Raw genomic sequence first — 18,835 nt, 5'->3', positions numbered from 1 at the left:
CTGCCCTGCCCCTGCAGGAGTCCTCATTAGTGAATGGACTGAGAGTGGCCTGGGCAGTGTTCTATCTGGACATACAGATACATTATTTTTAGGCTTTAAAACAGTATGATTTGGCAAATGGACCCACCAAGTTGAATCACAATCTCTAAACCCAGGAGCATTTCCTGGGTTCCTGTGGAGCAGTTCCTCTGTCTGGGTAAGGGAGGACTGGAGACAGACCCTGCACATAGAGTGGGGACAAGGAGTATAGGTGGTGTGAAAGTTTGCTGTTAACACGGGACTGTTATGGATCCACTCTAAGCCAGGGTAGTTCTAGAAGGCAGGATATGGTCAGCTCCAGGTAGGTCCCAAGCATACTGGGTCATGGCCCTGGGTCCCAAGCATACTGGGTCATTGTCCTTCCCTAAATCCATGTTGTGGAAGGGATGGCATGGGGGACGAGGTAGAAGATCTAGAGCTACTTCTGCCTTTTTCTTCGTAACTTCCCAATGTAAGTTTTGTGGATTTTCAGAAACACAAATAGAAATCTTAATCGTATTCTTTATCCTATTAAATGAGTTTTAATGCTGCAATTTTAAAATGAATTGAGTGACATGGCTGCTCATCCCTAGATTAAGGTTCTTTGGTAAAACAAATTTAATTCATACATGAACTACAAAATGAACATGAAAGCAGCACATCAGTGAGGGAAGGAAATGAAGACTTCATACAGCAAGCTCAGGTCTGTTGTCTGTTTCCTTCTGCCCCCCACCCTCTGCAGTCCTCCTCCTCAGCCTGTGATGAACATCCCGAGGCCCTTTGAAAATCCATTTGTGTTTTTTGAATGCATCTCAGGTCTTGAAGACTCACAGCCTAGAGAAGTATTGATTGCATTTAAGGGTCCATTACTTAGGTAAACCAAATAATGTAACTGATCTTGGCTTTAATTGATCAAATCTCTCCCATAGTGTTGGAAAGATTGTAATCTAATTACTCTGGTTCCTGGTTTCTAAGGTGAAGGTTACATTTTGCTGAAACTTAGCCTGCTTCAGTAACCTCCCTTTATCTGGGCTGTCCCTTCTTGAAACACACACACACAGTGTATGTTGTACATCTGTGAACACACAGAGGCGGACACTTACAAGTCATCTGTCCATGTAGAGACCCCCTGAGTTTTAATTTAAACTCTATATTAACAGTAGATAAGAAATGTGAGCCATGCTGGTTTTTTTCATCTTAACTTTTTACAGCTTGGGAAAGGGGACTAGCAAGATGCTCCTGTCTAATCAGGTTCAATACCAGCTTCTCTTGTTTCTCCTAACAAGCTTGGCCTCATCCTAATTCTTCCTTTTCTGGAGACAGAATATCTATTTTCAGCCTCAGAACATTGCAAGAGCAGTATGTTTGAAGACTGAGTTGAAAGCTGCTGAGCTGCTGATTTATCTGCAGATCAGCTCCCGCCTTAACTAGTTCTTCATGGAAGCCCCTCGACATCTTCCTGGGAGCCGTTGCGTGGGCTCAGCTCGTATTCTCCAGCTCTCTTTCAAAATACTTTTTACCTCCCTTATTAGGGCTGGTCTACCCCAGGGGTTTCATCCAGGGCTGGGGTGGGAGTGGGTGCGCATTTAAACAAAGGGGCTTGATGTCTGCCCTAACCGGCAGGATAACCACATTTAAAGAAGACTACCTGAATGACTATTTGAGGTGGAAGAAATGGGCTTTGCCGTGGGGAGAAATCAGGACTCTTGTAAATAACTTCCCCAGCATTTCTAAAAACGACATAGGTTGCTGGAAAGCTTTGTGTCAGTCACAAGGATTAGCGGAGAGCATGTTGGGCAGTTTCTCTGTCTGGGTAGGAGAGGATGGGAGACAGGGAACCTGGAATGTGGCATTCTTCTGGCAGGTCTTCTTTCCGCGGGACTGTTCCCTTGTTGGCTGTTACTCCACATTAGTCAATAGCAGCATCCCCAGAAGAGGTTGTCAGCATCAGCTCCTGCATGGAAATTGGTGCATCAGTCAAGCCCATCTGCATCTGCAGGGGCAGTGTGGAAATGTGAAGCAGGGACTGCTGGGAGATGAGGGGGTAATGATCTGCCCTTTAGGGTGCTTGGGGATTTCTCTCGGTCAGACAAAATCCTACGTGCACTGACGTTTACTTTCCTTTAAGAAAGTGTGTTTTTGCACACTTGTGCACAGTGCTGTGTAGTGGACCTTATAGTAAGGATCTTAAAATTGAAACACACTCTGCAGTTACATCTTTTCTAGACAGCAAGTACAGGAACTCTCACCTAAGCTGGCAAGATGCATGAGTCTTTATACAAGAAACATCTTGGCTGCTCTGTGGCATGGATTCTTTCTGGGATCTAAAAACAAGAATATTCGATCCAGGAGTCTTGAACTGCAAGACGGCAGTGAGCTATGATCAAGACTTCAGTGAGCTATGATCGTGCCACTGCACTCTAGCCTGGGTGACAGAGCAAGACCCTATCCCAAAAATAAAAAGTAAAATAAAACATAAGAATGTTTATGTGACAATGTGAAGAATGTGCTTCATGGGAATGTTGTGACTAAATATTTTGAGAGACAACCGTGAAGCCATTTGCAAGCATAACTGCCTTTTTTTCCCCCCCGAGATGAAGTCTTGCTCTGTCACCCAGGCTGGAGTGCAGTGGTGTGATCTCGGCTCACCCCTGGTTCAAGCAATTCTCTTGTCTCAGCCTCCTAAGTAGCTGGGACTACAGGCGCATGCCACCATGCCTGGCTAATTTTTGTATTTTTAGTAGAGACAGGGTTTCACCATGTTGGCCAGGCTGGTCTTGAACTCCTGACCTCGTGGTTTGTCCACCTCAGCCTCTCAAAGTGCTGGGATTACAGGCGTGAGCCACTACGCCTGGCCGAGTAACTGCCATTTTAATGGGTTTAACATTAATGCTAGAAAGCTTACATTCAGAATAGGGCAGTAATGTTTCTTGAAGTTTGGGGTGTAAGATGTTGTATGAGGAGTACTCCTAGTTTGACCTCCCACTCTGCCCATTGGATTATTTATATTTTCCCAACTGTGATTTTTTAAAATTTCAAGTATATAGAAAAGTTTAAAAAATGGTGTCATGGAGATGGGCGAATACTCATCACCCACATTCACTAGCCATTCTGCCACATTCTCTTGATAGCTCTCACTTTGTTTTCTGAACATTTGAAAGACTCTTTGAGGTCACTACAGTTAATCCCTAAACATTTCTAGTGTAACTCAGGACACTTTAACCTGAATATAATAATATCTAGTGCACAGTTTATATTCAGATTTCCTTAATTGTCTTAGTAATTTTTCTTATGGCCGTTATTTTCTAAAGTCCGAAATCTAGCCAGAGATCACACATTATGTTTAGTTGTCACATCTCATTAGCCTCATTTTGAATCTATAATAGTCTTCCAGCTTTTTCAAAGTCTTTTGTGACATGTAGCATCTTGAAAAGTCCAGGCTAGGTCTTGCGGAATGTCCCCCAGTTCCAATTGTTTCCTCCTATAAGATGCGAGAATATCCCATCAAGACAGAGTGGCCTTCCCCTGTGGCACCACAGGAAGTACACGGTGTCACACTATCCCTTTGGTGGGATGTATGGTCACATGAATAAGGCTGTGGCCACCAGATTTCTCTGTGCTATAAGGTTCTTTCTTCCTTTTGTGATTAAGGAGCCTGTGGGGTGATCTTTTGAGACCAGGTGAATATCCCATTCCCCGTAGTCTTTCGCAGAATGATCTTTGCCTGAATTGGTTATTTCATTGGTAGTTACTGTGCCTCAATATTTGACAAAAACAAAAGGCAGTTGTGCTTTGGAAGCCAGAGAAATGACTTCAGAGAGGAAAAAAGCCATGTCTTTTTTATTTTAAAAAACCGAATTTGCTTTTTATATATTAAGGTGGGATTTTTAAATTTGTGAGTGTGACTGTCAGTAGGATTTGATAAAATAGGATTTGAAATTTGTGAGCGTGAACATCAATAAAGAAATCCCATGTTAATTTTGGTTATAGATTTTTAAAGATTATACTCATACATTTCTACATTTTGCACACCATATATTAAGATTTGCATTAAAAATTTCTAGAGCTGAATTCTTGTTACTGGTAATTATTGCAGTATTTGGAACAAAAACGGGAAATGCTCTGAACTCATGAGTGAAAGATTTCCATGTGGATATCTCTCTGTAGAAATATCACCCAAGGAATTTACGAAACACTGAAAGAATCTGTTGTATTTTGTAAGCAGTACTCATTTGAGAAATTGCTCTTCATAAATGGGTTTCACTAATTAAATCATACACTTCCATAGTACATTACATGTAAAACTAGACTAGGAAATAAATATAATTAAAGTAAACATGCCCTTCTAATTAGTAATTGTTTCTGCCATTTTAAGCAAATTTCAGAGTCACGGAGAGCTGCTCCACTATAAACCTAATAATGAAGCTTGTGATAACAGGTGTAAATTAACACAATGGAAAACATTTACACTGTAACATGCTAAATTAAAAATGGCATTAACAAGTCCCATTTTCAAATTCTCTATAATTAACATTTGTTCAACCCAGAGATGAGTAAGTGCAGTACAATGGTAAATGTCTTTATTTATAGCTTAGGATATTTGTCACGGCATTATCTTTGTTACATTGTAAACAACAGGGATGCATTCCTTCTTAAAATATGTCATGTTTATGTAATCTTAGACAGTTCTGACAAAGGGTGAGACGTGATATTTACTGGTGCCATTATTGTGGGTAATCTGCAGGTATAACACCAGAACGTCTTTGGTTGGGAGTAGAGCTTGACATGAAATATCGAGAGTGGGATGAGTATGGAGATATGCAGGTACAACGGCAGTAATATCCAGGACATGATAAAATATTAGGATTCCCTCAAGTGTTCCCCTCATTGCACATATGTGCTTCTAAGTGCCTTGAATCAGTGTTTGTTTCTGCAAATAAATATTATCTTAAAGGCTTTCTTTTATGGCACTAGTTAATACAAGCTAGAAAGCAGAGAACAGAGGAAACAGCTTTGTAGCTTAATTTGTCACAGAGGACATGATGTTTTACTCCTTACAGAGAATTTCATCAGTATACTAATGGTTGAATAAAGAACTTAAGCATTACTGCATTGCCTAAACATTGGCTTAGAGCTAATCGCTGACTTTTTTTAACTCAAGATTTTAATCACTCCAACTGTATCTTGTTTAAAAAAATTGTTGAGAATATATACTACGGATTATTTTTTGAGTAATTAAAAATGTTTTCAAGTTGTATTCAGATTGTCTGGAGTTTATCCTCGTGGTGTAGGATGGTAATGTAATAAGGACGGGGTCTGTGTTGTGCCTTTGAGAATTGTAAGACTCAGCATTTACCGAGTTCTGGAACTCACCGTCTCCTTGGGGAGATAGAAAAGTAAATCAGTAATTGCATTCACCTTCTGTCACCACTATGACAGAGCCAAGGAACAAAGGGAAGGACTACATAAATAATGGAATAATGTAGGAGTGACAAATATTATAAGAAGTTCAGTGTTTTAAATAAAGTACATTGGGCACATGTTAAAGGAAAATTGACTTGTCCACGTAGCATGTGGCTCAGCACTGCTCAAGAGCGCCTTCAGCGACGGTGGAGAGGCCCTAGATCCGAGCCATCCAGCACGGGTGCCATTGGCTCCACGTGGCCGTCGGGACCAAGAAACTGAGCTTAGCATTTAACTTAATTTTAATTAATTTACATTTAAATGCCATATGTGGTTAGTGGCTGTTACAGTGGAAAGTGTAGATCTGTATTTTTAAAGTCTTACTCTTAAAGTCATTATTTCAAGATTTTTTTTTTTTTGGCTGTTAAGAGGAGTCATAGATTTGTTTTCATTCTGAGAAATCCTATTCTGAAATAGTTTCAAATCCACTGAGTTTAGACGGTTGAACTTTCTTTGTCAAGGCGGATTCCTGCCCTCACTTTTACACAGCCATTGGACAAGAGGGACGGTACCTGCTCAAGATGCCTGGCTGAGAGTGTGTGGGAGTCTGGTTGGAGCCCAGATTTTATATATTTATATATTTTATTTAGCTTTGACCAAAAAGTGAACATAAAAACTGAGTCATGGTAATTAAAACTAACAGATAATTTATCTAAAATAAATCTTGATCTGACTAACATTGGTCAAACATGACGTGACTTTTTACTCCTTAGATGCACCTTGTGACATAAATAGAATCCTTCCCTTGCATTTTATAAATGGGAAACCAGAAGCACCAGGAGATGAAGTGAGGGAACTCAGCAGTGGGAGGACCTAAACTGCAGCCCAGTCCAACAGTGCCAGTCGAAACCTAGTTTTCCAATGAGGACTGCTTTCCTGTCCCTTCGTCTCCTCTTTTTCCTACAGCCTCACACCTACCACTTATTGACTATTTACTTGAGAGGCATCGTAGATTAATGGTTTAAGAACATGGACTCTGGTACCAGACTTATAGGTTGGAATCCTGATGTTACCGCTGACTAGCTGTGGGGCTGGACACATTACTGGGCCTCTCTTGTGCCTCATTCTGTTTGTGTGTGAGCACTATAGAGTAGGTATAGGATAATGTAAACATTAGCTGTTATCAGAATCATTGTCTGCACCAGCTAAGTACATGCCTTACATGCATTGTTAATTCTGTTATTCCTGTTTTACAGATCAAGAAAGGTTTTCTTTTGAAGGTTGAGTTACTTGCCTTAGATCATGTGATCAGCAAGTGGTAGACTATTCTTGGAACTCAGGAGTGTGTGCTGTTGACCCTTGAACAGCTCTGGGGTTAGAGGTGCCAACCCTCATGCAGTCAAAAATTCACATATAACTTTTGACTTCCCAAAGGCTCAACTATGAATAGCTTAATGTTGACTGGAACCCCTACTGATAACATAAACAGTTGATTAACATGCATTTTGTATGTTACATGTATTATATGTACTGTTAATATATGATAGATATTATTCTTACAATAAGCTAGAGAAAAGAAAATGTTATTAAGAAAACCATAAGCAAGAGAAAATATGTTTACTATTCATTAAGTGGAAGTGGGTCATCATAAAGGTCTTCATTCTTTCCATCTTCCTGTGGAGTATACTGGCTGAAGAGGAAGAAGAAGGGTTGGGCTTGCTGTCTCAGGACTGGCAGAGGTGGGAAAGGTGGAGGGAGGGGAAAGGGAGGCAGGAGAGGCAGGCACATTTGCTGTAACTTTTATCAAAAAAAAAAAAAACCTACAATAAGTGGACCCATGCAGTTTTTAAAATCCATGTTGTTGAAGGATCAACTGTATTTTTGAAAGCCCTCACTTAAAATAATAAATATTCATTGATAGCCTTAAAGGGGAAGACATAAGGCAGTTCTTAGCAGAGTATCTGACATAGGGTGAGAACGCAGTCACGGGAGCTGCTGTTCTTATTAAGAAGTACATTAGTCTGCAGTTGCTTGTCTGTTTTCTGTGCCTCTTAGAGGCAGAACGAGAAGAAAAGAGCGCCGGTGAACATGCGACTGTTGCTGGCGGGTAGTAACTGCGGCACTCAGCTGCTCCCTAGCTCAGTTGTCTTCTGAGTGACCTCACCGTCTTCTCTACCACTGACCACTTGATAAGGAAAACGGCCAGCTCCTCACCCTCCTCCCCTTCCCCACCTCTGTTGCCATGGCCAGTCCCCCTCCCCTTCCTTTCATTTCTCTTCCTGACCAGCCACAGCCCTGAGTTTCATCAGGGAGGCTGGTTGGGCTGAGGAGGTGCTTTGGAGCCTCTGTTGGAAAGATTAAAAAAGATGCTGTGGGCTGATGCTCTTCTTCCCAAAGCAGATTGCCGTCTTGTCCACATCCCCCTAGCTTGTTCCCATCTCTCTCTTCATGTCTGCTTGACGTGATGGTCTGACTTGCTGGACAGCGAGGCTGCTGTGGAGTATCCCCCAGGTTTAGAAATAGTACTGTCCATTTCGAGGCCCCATCAGACATCCCCCATGTTTGATGGGGCCTCTAAACGGACAGTACTGTTGTACAGTTTTCTTTGGCACATCCATAGATTATTTTAAGGACTATAAACCTATTAATTACTCCAAAGTAAATCTCAGAGGTTAACCTGGGGCCTTTGATATGTTTAGTGTTTTGAAGGCTCAGTCGAGTGCCAGGTCGATCATTATTGGCAAGTGAACCAGCAAGCATCTGTCTAGCCCACGAAGGAAAAAAGTGAGAGAGTATGCCTTTCTATATATTGCCCAGGGAAATTCATTTTATTTTTAGCTGTTGGCTACTGCAGTGGGACAGGAAAGTCAACTTAGGTGTTTAGAATGAAAAACAGCTTGAAAAAAAGACATTGAGGTTCATTGCACTCTATGACTTGGGTAGATAGATGGAAGGGGGTTGTGAAACGGAGCTATTCTGAATACGTTCAGTGTTTTCATTTAGAGATGCAGAGGTTTTCTCTTTATTTGTATCTTAGTGGACAGTGACAGATGAAAACAGAAAGAGCCACTTCCCTCAAAATACATAGCTGTGCATGAATACACGGGGTGAGCTGTTTTCCACGAGAGGGGATCCTGCTCGGTGCTGAGAGGGTAGAATGGAGGATGCGGGTCCTGCCTTTCAGGCACCCCTGGTGTAACTGAGAACCCTGCCATCCTGAAGTAGGGTAAGGTGCAGAAGAGGTCAAGACAGCCGCACACCACCCTCATCACTCCTCCATGTGTTCATTCCTGGCCCCATGGCCAGATCGGCTGGGAAGGAAACTGCCGCGGTGAGCTCTAATTACTAGAGATGGAGACGCTCAGGTGCAAGCTGCCTAATTACAAAAGCCCAGAACACACATGCTCTCAGGGGGCCCACCAGGGTTAAAGAGACTGAAAAAATAATTTTGGCTGCAAATTTAAGTGAGGATGAACACCACGAGGAGCTTCATATGCAGAAATGAAGTCCTGGCTTTCTTAAAAAAATAAAAACACTAATGCCTCAACAACAACTACAACAGAAACCCTTTGGGTTTATTATTTCAAGCCAGGTCATGCTAGTTTCACAAGAGTTTGTGAAAATGGATGCACATGAATAGAGCCTTTAAAAACTCGTGATTAAAGAGAAAGATTTCACAGTTGATGGTTTGGTAGATGGCAGTCATAAAAACAATTGCTCTTTGTTATATGTATTGGTTAAAAAAAGTTTTATTTTCTAACGTCCTGCATTATGAAACTTTTTTTTTAAATGCAGCTATTTTTTCCTTCATCTATGTTCAATTTCTTTGAAGATAAAAATTTCAAGTGCAGTGAAACTATTTTCATCTTTTTCGATATTACAGTCTCCCCATGTATGGAATTCATTTTGCATGGCCTCAGACCAAATATTTCCAAGTCCCGTCCTTATATATAGCAAAGCCATGTATTTTGCTCATGCCTTCAAGCCTGGGAGTAACACAGTTTTGCTGTCAGAAGAAGATGGTTGCTGAGGCAAGTGGGAACAGGCATCCTGCACCATGCCATCCCACCTGCCCTTCCCGACTGGAGCTGAGGCCACAGGGTTTTTCACCGCCAAATTGATATGCTTTTGAAGGAAGCATCTGGTTCTTTGGCAGCTCCATAGGAGTAATCTTGGTGGTTGGAGAGTTTCTCCTGCATCTATCACATAGTCTAGTTATTGAAAGGGTTCCTGGCATTTTCACGTCCCAGTTTCTGGGCATAGGAATGTGAAAAAGCTGAAGTCTGTTTGCACTTGCAAAGCCTCTTTGAAATTTGTCAGGCTAAAAAAAAATTCTCTGTGTTTAAAAAAAAAAAAATTCTTCTGGGTTGTGTCTTACCTGCATCCATGGATGATTTTTCTACTATTTAAGTTTCATACTCATATATCTGGTATTTATGCCGAGAAAAACATCAGTACGAATTATAGACAAGTGGTCTTTAAAAATATTCACTAAGAAAGCTAAAATAATATTTTAACATTTTCTTAGTTTAAGAATTGCAAAATTCAGCAGTATTTATTAAGCAACTCTGATGTTCTAGGCAGTTAGGTGCCATAGCAGGGACCATGTTAGAAACTTCATAAAGTTCCTCATTCTCAAACCTCAGAGAGCTTTCCCAGCCTAGGTCATTAGCATTTCCATATGACATGTCTTGACTTAATAATTTATTCACGTTTGATATGTTCAACTAACTTTGATTACTTAATCATAATTAAGTATGCAGCTGCTAAATTTTTTTTTCTGTGTTTCTTGGCTATTTGTCCACTTGTTTCTCAATCATTAGCACCCAGTGGGTAGGCTGCCATGTCTGTAACTTGCTTTATCCACCTTCTAGCACAGCATTCATCTGTGTAACAAATGCTTGTGGTGGATCTATTGTGTGTCAGACACAGTTCTAGACCCTGTAGTGGAAGCAAACTACTTTCTTATTGGAGCTTATATATTTGTGGTCCGGATAATCAGAAAAAAAACAATATATTTCAGATTGGAATATACTTATGCTCTAGAGAAAATGAAGTGAGTGCGGGGCGCATAATGGTGATTGCAGGTGAAAGGCAGCACTCGCTGGGGTGGCTGCGGAGGGCCCTCTGTGGGGTGACATTTGACCTGAGATCGGAGAGTTAACTACTGCACGGAGGTTTCGGGAGAAAGCCTTTCAAACAAAGAAAACAGCGGGGACAAGGGCCTTTCTCTTAGCTTGTTCAAGAGACAAAGAACAAAGGAAGAAGGCCAGTGTGGCAGGGCAGAATGAGTGATGGTGGGGCCGGGCCGGGGGCTGGAGAGGTTGGGATGGTGTGGGGGTGGTAGAGATGGGCTCAGAGAGCCTTGGAGGCGATGTGAGGGGTTGGATAAACGTTTATAGTAAGTGCATGGGGAAGCCATGTAGGGTTTAAAGCCAGGGAAAATATGATTTTATTAATGCTGCAGGTTTATTCAATAAATACCATTGTGATAGTAGTATTGAAAGTCTGCATGTAATTACATGTAATAATAGCCTGTGTACTTGTGATGATGCAAATATCCCTTCTATATGTTTGGTTGAAAGCTAAAAGAAATGTTTTATGCAAAATGAGTCAATGAATTATATCTCCCTATGTTTCTAACAGTTTAATATTCATCATTTGGAGAAGATACATGCAGTTTTATCTATGTGTGGGCATAAATTGTTCCTCCGAGTAGGGCATGCCAGTTTTAGCTCAGGGTCTCCTCTTAATTTTGACTGTATATCCCCTGTGGCTACATGTCAAAATATGACACGTCAGCATTAGGCCAACCTGGATTTAATGACTAGGAAACTGTGAAATTTATATGATTTGGGGGCACGTGGGGGCTTTTCTAATGCCAGTTCCAAGGATAAGTGGCATGGAGGTTATTTGATTAATTGGACAAGCATAAACTCTAGCTCAGCTTCCTGCCTGTCATCTGAACACAGAACATTGAAGATTAGGCGACTTAGCACTCCAGAATTAAAATCATGATATTTCTTTTCCTATTAACAGACTATTTTGCTTAGCATTACACTGTCTTTTAGGCAAGCATTCACTGGGCCCCTGCATATGTAATCTTTACTTATGAGTGAGGAATTTTCCAAGGTATATGTTGAAAACACTGTGCTCCCTGAAGTCCAGCTATGGTTGAAGCCATGCCTTTGCAATGAGGCCCATTTAGTAGCTTCCGTGTGAACCCATCTATCACTTTAGTAGAGCTGGAGAGTGTCATATGCTCACAAGGCTCTTACTGAACTCCTTTGCTGAGATGGTTTGTGTAGAGCCATCAATCACACACAGCTCTCATCCTTGTGAGGTTATTCATTTGTGCACAGGCTTTGGCTCTGCATTGACTTGCTCAGGAAGACCCAGAGACCTGGATCATGGCTTAACTTTCACAGTGATGAAACAGAGGCAGTAACCTGATGATGGCTTGACTGTGAGCCCCAGTGCCACCTGACCCACCTGGATGATATGCCCTGTGGCCTCCTTGGAGGGTGCAGCCAGGTGGGGCTGTCTCCTCTAAAAGAGATCTGTCCTCTTGCTGCTCAGCATGACTTTCCAGCCAGTCTAAAACAACGCTGCCTCCCCAAGCCCTGAAGCTGTTTTCTAACACTGCTTTCACTTGTGATGGTCCATGAGAAAATCTTTGAAAGAAATAGCAAGCCTGTCGGTAGCAGGGGAACAAAGCAGGTGTGCCAGAGCCCTGGTTCTGCCTTGCTCTCATAGGCAGGCGACCTGACATCAGCCCTGGTCGCTCCTTCAACATCCTGCTCTCATCAGGGATTCATGGTGGTCCTCTGATGTAACTGATAAAACCAGGACATTTTTGTTTCTCTTATTGCTCATGATTAGAAAAGGGATTCATGATCTTGTTTTCCCTCTGCCTCTTAACTGAGAAGAGGATGGTCTCCAGGAACATTTGGAATGTTTGAAACTCAATGATGTATATTGGCCAAATTAGTAAAATAATTGTATCTCAGCTGGTTGGAACTCTTTCCTGGAGCAAAGTAGTGCTGCAGTCATTGGGTTGGAGGTCTTTCTTTGGGTGGAACACTGTATAGGGACTCAGGAGAGATGGAATTCCAGATAATATGTCACATTTTCTTTCATGAAGGAGATTGCAGTCTAACAGGGTAGGTTGTAAGCAATAATCGTCATATTACTTAATAACACTGGGAGGGGAGGCTTCTTGTGACAAGAGCGTGGAGGGTCGTGAAAAGGGGGCAAAGGTATGGGTCATTTAGGTTGATGAAATTCCAGTGAGGAAGCATGGCACATGCTGTTACTGGGTTTTGCAGTCCTTCTTAATGCTGAGGCAGATGATTGCAAGGCTGAGGTAGTGAATCTGCATTGGAAATTTATAAGAAAGAATGATTAAGATGAAAACACAATTTGACAGACATTTATCCACTGAGGCTAGTCATTGAGCTCTGTGCTGGGGACAGCAAAGAGGAGTTCCTGTCCTAGAGAGAACAATGGAAAATTAGTCTGTACTGAATGTGAGCACAAGGTGCCTGGAACAAGGAGGAAGCGACAGGCAATCACCTCAGGGACTGTTTCCAAGAGGAGGGGAACTTTCACCAGAGCCAGCCAGTAAGTGGGATGTGGTGGGGAGAAGAGGAAGTTCAAACAAAGTTAGAAAGTGAGCGAAGGCATATGGATGTAAAGGAACATGACCCATTAGGGAGCCAGCCCGGACATCAAGAATATGGACCCACGCAGAAGATTAACGGGTAGAGCTAATAAGGGAGACAGGCTAGGTCATTGGCCATGGGGGAGGGCCTTTTTGTTTTTTTTTAGAGAGGAGTTCTCCCTTTGCCTTCCAGGCTAGAGTGCAGTGGTGCCATCATAGCTCATTGCAGCCTTGACTCCTGGGCTCAAGTGATCTTCTTGCCTCAGCCTCGCAAGTAGCAGACACTAGAGGCACAAGCCACCACACCTGGCTAGTTTTTTAATTTTTGTAAAGATGGGGTCTCACTGTGTTGCCCAGGTTGATCTCGACCACCTAGGCTCAAGCAATCCTCCTGTCTAGGTCTCCTAAAGCCCTGAGTCTATAGGCCAGAGCCACTGTGCGCTGCCCAAGGGGACCTTTTATGTTATGCCAAAATTCTGGACATCAGGTCTGGTAGAAAACACTTGAAGGACTGTGAATTCGATAAGATAGCTATTGGGGAAGCCATTGTAGATTTTTGAGGATGAAAGAGATATAGTGAAGTTGGTATTTCACTTAACTACAAAAATTTTAGACACTGCTGACCTTTTTCTCATTATAAAAGTAAAACAATTAATTTCAGAAAAATTCAAAAGTAGAAAAACTATAAAGAAGAAAATAGGCTGGGCATGGTGGGTCACACCTGTAGTCTCAGCACTTTGGGAGGCCAAGGCAGGTGGATCACCTGATGTCAGGAGTTCAAGACCAGCCTGGCCAACATGGTGAAACCCCGTCTCTACTAAAAATACAAAAAATTAGCCGGGCGTGGTCGTGGGCACCTGTAATCCCAGCTACTTGGGAGGCTGAGGCAGGAGAATCGCTTGAACCCGGTGGCGGAGGTTGCAGTGAGCTGAGATAACGCCATTGCACTCCAGCCTGGGCAACAAGAGCGAGGCTCTGTCTAAAAAAAAAAAAAAGAAGAAGAAGAAGAAAATAAATATGCTGCATAGTCCCATGACCCTTAGATACAAATTAAATTATTTAAATGCTTCGTTATGTGGCAGACTTTTTGTGCATGTATGTGTCACAGGTAACATCATGGGGAGATTTTGGACCCGTGCCCAGCCTCTGTCCCCTCAACTGCAAGCCACATGATGTCTTTTACCCACCCTCTCCTGTGTTTATAAAATATATGAGAAATAAAATCAAAGCTCTCTTTGTGTTATTAGCTCACAAAATGGTTGAGATTGTTTACTCTTTGTCTTTCTGTAAAACACTTTTTGATCAGAGCAGCCCTTCTCTTTTTTATAAATGAGCCCTTTTTTTTTTTTAATTTGAGGAAAATATAAGACAACTTGATTGTTGCTGGAAGGCTGGAATCCCAAAGTGAATGGGGTTGGGGTCCAGGTGGCTCATGTGGTTTTAATCTGCGGGAGTAAGACCAGACAGCGACTTTAGCGCTTAGAGTGGTGGGGAAGCGGGCGGGGCTTAGATGTGCCAGCCCAGCTGAGGTGTCCTTGGGCGTCTCCTGCAGATCCTTCTGTCTTAGACTTCATTGCAGGGGACTGATGGCTGCAGTGTCTTCACCCTCTCCTCTTCCCTTAATGGCTTGATGAGGACTTCCCAGGTACAAAGAAATAAAGCCTAGAGTTTTCTAATTTGAAATAATAATTGACCTTGAAAAGTTTTCTTTTACCCATCGTCATTTCAGAGTCTGCAGAGATCCAAATCCAATAATTCCAAAACAAAATTAAAAACACAAAAACACTCAAGGTTGAAGTTGAGACTACTGTCCTTGACCTTCTCGCTGATATATATATATACACACCCACATATATTTATATATTATATATGTTTATTTGTAAATAGATATAGATTAATTTTTATATATTTTATATATTATATATTTTTATATAATATATAAAAATAAATATATTTATTATATTTAATAATATATATTATACACAAATTAATATAAATATATATAATATATAAATATATAATATATAAAATATAAATATATATTTATATATAAATAATATATAAAATATAAATATATATTTATATATAAATAATATATAAAATATAAATATATATTTATATATAAATAATATATAAAATATAAATATATATTTATATATAAATAATATATAAAATATAAATATATATTTATATATAAATAATATATAAAATATAAATATATATTTATATATAAATAATATATAAAATATAAATATATATTTATATATAAATAATATATAAAATATAAATATATATTTATATATAAATAAATAAATATATATGAAATAAATATACCCCCCATACATGTATGTATAAAATATGTGTATTCCTATTTGGGCCTTTCACACATGTTCAGATCATACCCTGTATAGTTTTGAATCTTACATTTTCACTAGTATTGTAAACATCTATTATTAAATACCATATTTTTCTTGAAAACACATTTGTAAACTACATTACATAAATATACCATAACTTGTTTATTCTTGGACCTTGAGATTTTTTTCTTCTAATATTTTGGCTGTTACATGAACATGTGCTATGGTGAACATTCTTGTGCAGAAATCATTGCACACATTGCTGTTAATTTTCTTAGTAACAGTTTTTAACAATAGAATTACTGATTAGAGGACGTGAGCTTTCAGAACGCTTTTGATATATTGCCAAGTTTCCCTCCAGAAGGATTTTACCTGTTTGGCTGTCACCAGGAGCGCATGAGACCTCCTGCCGCTCTGCACAGCTGTCTGTAGGTTATTGAGGGTTACACTTTTTAGTTCTTTGCCTATTTGGTAGGTAAAAATGGTATTTCCTTATTTGTTTTTGTTTTTTTCTTTTCTTTTTTTTTTTTTCTGTTTGGAGTAGGCTGCTGCTTTTGTACTTGTTTGACTACTTTCTCTCCCTCTTCACCCCCACCTCATGTCCCAACTCATATTTCTCTGATTTTCAACCATTTTCATTTGTAAGAGCTCTTTATATATATCATGAGACTACTGCCCCTTCTCTTATATGTCACATATCTTTTTCCTAGTTTATCTTTAATTTTGTAACTTTGTGGTTATGTGTATATGATTGCATGATCAAATATGTCCATTTTTTTTACATTCTCTCTCATTGCTTTAATGATTAAGAAATGCCAGCCCCTGCCTTTCTTTCTTGTTTTTTAATGGCTTCATTTAAAAATAATTATTCTTTAATTTATTGGAATTCATTTTTTTAAATGCAAGGTAGGAATAAAATGTATTTTTTCCCAAATATTTTACCTGTTATTCTGAAATCTAAAAGTAAGTTGATTGAAGCGCCCACTTTTCTTCATGGATTTGTAATTATATGAAGTTAGGTTTTAGAAAAGTTGGTAGGATACTAATGGGTGCTAGGGTAACGTGTGGGCAATGCTAGGATTATTAAGTAGAAGGACCTGGGGTGGCTGGGAAAGGGCTGGCACATTGTGAGCAGGGTGGTGCCATTGTGTTAGTGGGGAAATTCATGAGGGTGACTGTTGCCAGGAAAGACTTTGAGAAAGTTGTTTTTTTTTTTTTTTTTTTTTTTTTTAGCACTGTATTTTTCAGAACTTGGCACACATTTTTGGTTTTGATTAGAACCATATCAATTTTCTCTCTCAGTGAGTTGAACACCCTTTTAAGCCAAGAGGTAGATTAAAGGATTCAAGGGACAGAGGAGAAATCTGGGCTTTTCAAGGCCATATTCCTTGAAGTAGCCTCATTGCTTCCACCACCCCCAATTCAAAGAATGCTTCTTTACTTGCAGTGTACTATTGTAACAGACTTTATGATTAACAGATAACTTTCATATCTGCTAGTTTGCTTGGTTCTTTCAGCAACCCAGTGTAAAAGGCATGCATTGCCTTACTATGTCCCCATTTTTAAAGATTTGGAAACTTAAACCCAAAGATGTTAAGTGCTTAAGATCACATACATCCTATATATTCTCTTGTTCTTTCATTGAACAAATACTCATCGAGGGTTCACAGTTTTGCAAACACTGCTAGGTACTGAGGATATATAGATGAAAAGAAGGTTTTTGCTCTTCAAATGCTTAAGTAAACTAAAAGGCAGAGCTGGAAATAAAGCCCGTATTGTGGACTCCAAGTAATGCTCTTTCTGCTACACCATACTTTGTGGTGTCTGCTCCCATGTGCTTCTTCGCTAAGGCTGATCAAAAAAGTTAGTAGGTTGCTTCAGCTATAAGAATTTGATGGTCTTCCTTAGTCATCATAGTCTGCAGCAATCATTTTTGTTCATCATTGGGATGTCTGCTTACTCCTGTTGAGTAAATGTGATCTATTCACCCTTGGAAGCTCCTTGCACACCAACAGTATTCTTGGATAGGGACAAGTGTTGTCTAAGTCAGTGACGATTTCTTTAGCATAATAAAAGGCTCCATGTAGGATGCTAATACTTGAGTGAAATATGCTTCATAAGCAGCCTTGTTTTGACAGAGTTGGTGTAAAGTGAGGTTATGTCTTGGCCTGAGCGTCTTCAAAGCATGTGCCACTTTGTGCATCTGTGTGATTCCACAGGTGCCCAGAGACTAAAATTTAAATGGAGGCAGTTGATTGTAGCCATAGCAGAGAGAGCCATGGTTGGACAGGTGTATTGTTTATGATGTGGTGGTGTGAAGTGGTGTGCTGCCTCCTTGGTGGCCTTGAGGATACAGGGAGCTGAAGTCTGGGGACATGAGGATCCCCAGGGGAATGGACACTGGGACAAAGATTTGACTCCTTTCCTAGGTCAGACTTCATATTTTACAACCAGGCCCTACAATACTCATCCATTAAAACAAAGGAAAATTTACATGAGGCAGTTAATGTGAATGACATTGAATACTTCATGCATGTGAACTTGAGTGACCTTGATGGAACCGGGGGAACTTAGGTGATCATTAGATCTTGTGTATTATGTTGCTTTCTACCTTGGTATTCCATGTAGACCTTTCTGGGGCTCTTTTTATAGGCACTAGATCAAAAGCCAGGCATCTGTATTTCTTGGTTCTTTGTTATGTAAAGTGTAATTTAGAATCACTCAAAATCCTTGTTGTAAAGAGAAATGTTTTCTTCATTGATATTCTGATATAAATGTGCCAGCATTATCATCTGTCTAGAAAGCTTAGTTTTTGCAGATTAAAAAAAAAAAGGGAAAATTAGGTTTTTATGGACTTCCATTGTGTTGGAAGAAGCTAGTCCTTCTAATGAGTTTTTAAAATTCTGAAATGAAAAGAGATTGGTGTATTTGAAAACTGAGGATTGGAGTAAGTCTATTCAACTGATTTTTATCCTTTAGGTTTAATTTCTATATTTAATTTTATTTTTGCATTTAAGTCTTAATTCTGTTTACAGGCATGTTAATACTTTGGCATTTTATTTCTATTTCATCCTATATGATTCAGTGTACTTTTATGTGTTGCAATAAAATAATTGTTTCTACATGTGTTTTCTGATTGACAAGTTGAATAAAGAGATTGATTTTCTTTGGCATAAAACTAAGTATAGAGTCATGCGGGAAAGCCTTTGGAAAACAAATAGAGCAATCCTTTTGTCAATGCTAATATGTCAGTTTTTAAGCTACTTGCATGACTGGAGTGATAACCAATCTTAGAACAAGCATTTGCTATTGATTTGCCAGTCTAAAATAACAAGTTACTGCTTCGGTTCTTATTGAGAATTAAATCAAAATAATTCTGTGCCCTATATAATAT

The 18,835-nt window shown here is 39.9% G+C and overlaps 1 protein-coding gene across 20 annotated transcripts in view, besides 1 other annotated feature; it reads left to right on the top strand.

The window, feature by feature from the left end:
* AFF3 (ALF transcription elongation factor 3) overlaps positions 1-18,835 on the top strand; it is a 597,172-nt gene that overhangs the window by 89,784 nt on the left and 488,553 nt on the right. The window lies entirely within an intron of this gene.
* Positions 5,486-5,780: an enhancer, noted in NCBI's record as "tiled region #9249; HepG2 Activating non-DNase unmatched - State 21:Repr, and K562 Activating non-DNase unmatched - State 13:Ctcf". NCBI's record gives its function as "activates a minimal TATA promoter and a strong SV40 promoter by Sharpr-MPRA in HepG2 and K562 cells {active_cell/tissue: HepG2 | K562}" and the evidence as "EXISTENCE:reporter gene assay evidence [ECO:0000049][PMID:27701403]".

The sequence above is a fragment of the Homo sapiens genome, chromosome 2 (assembly GCF_000001405.40).
Source record: "Homo sapiens chromosome 2, GRCh38.p14 Primary Assembly".
Taxonomy (NCBI): domain Eukaryota; kingdom Metazoa; phylum Chordata; class Mammalia; order Primates; family Hominidae; genus Homo; species Homo sapiens.
The sequence above is the reverse complement of the archived record's forward strand: the minus strand, read 5'-3'. Positions and strand labels throughout refer to the sequence as shown.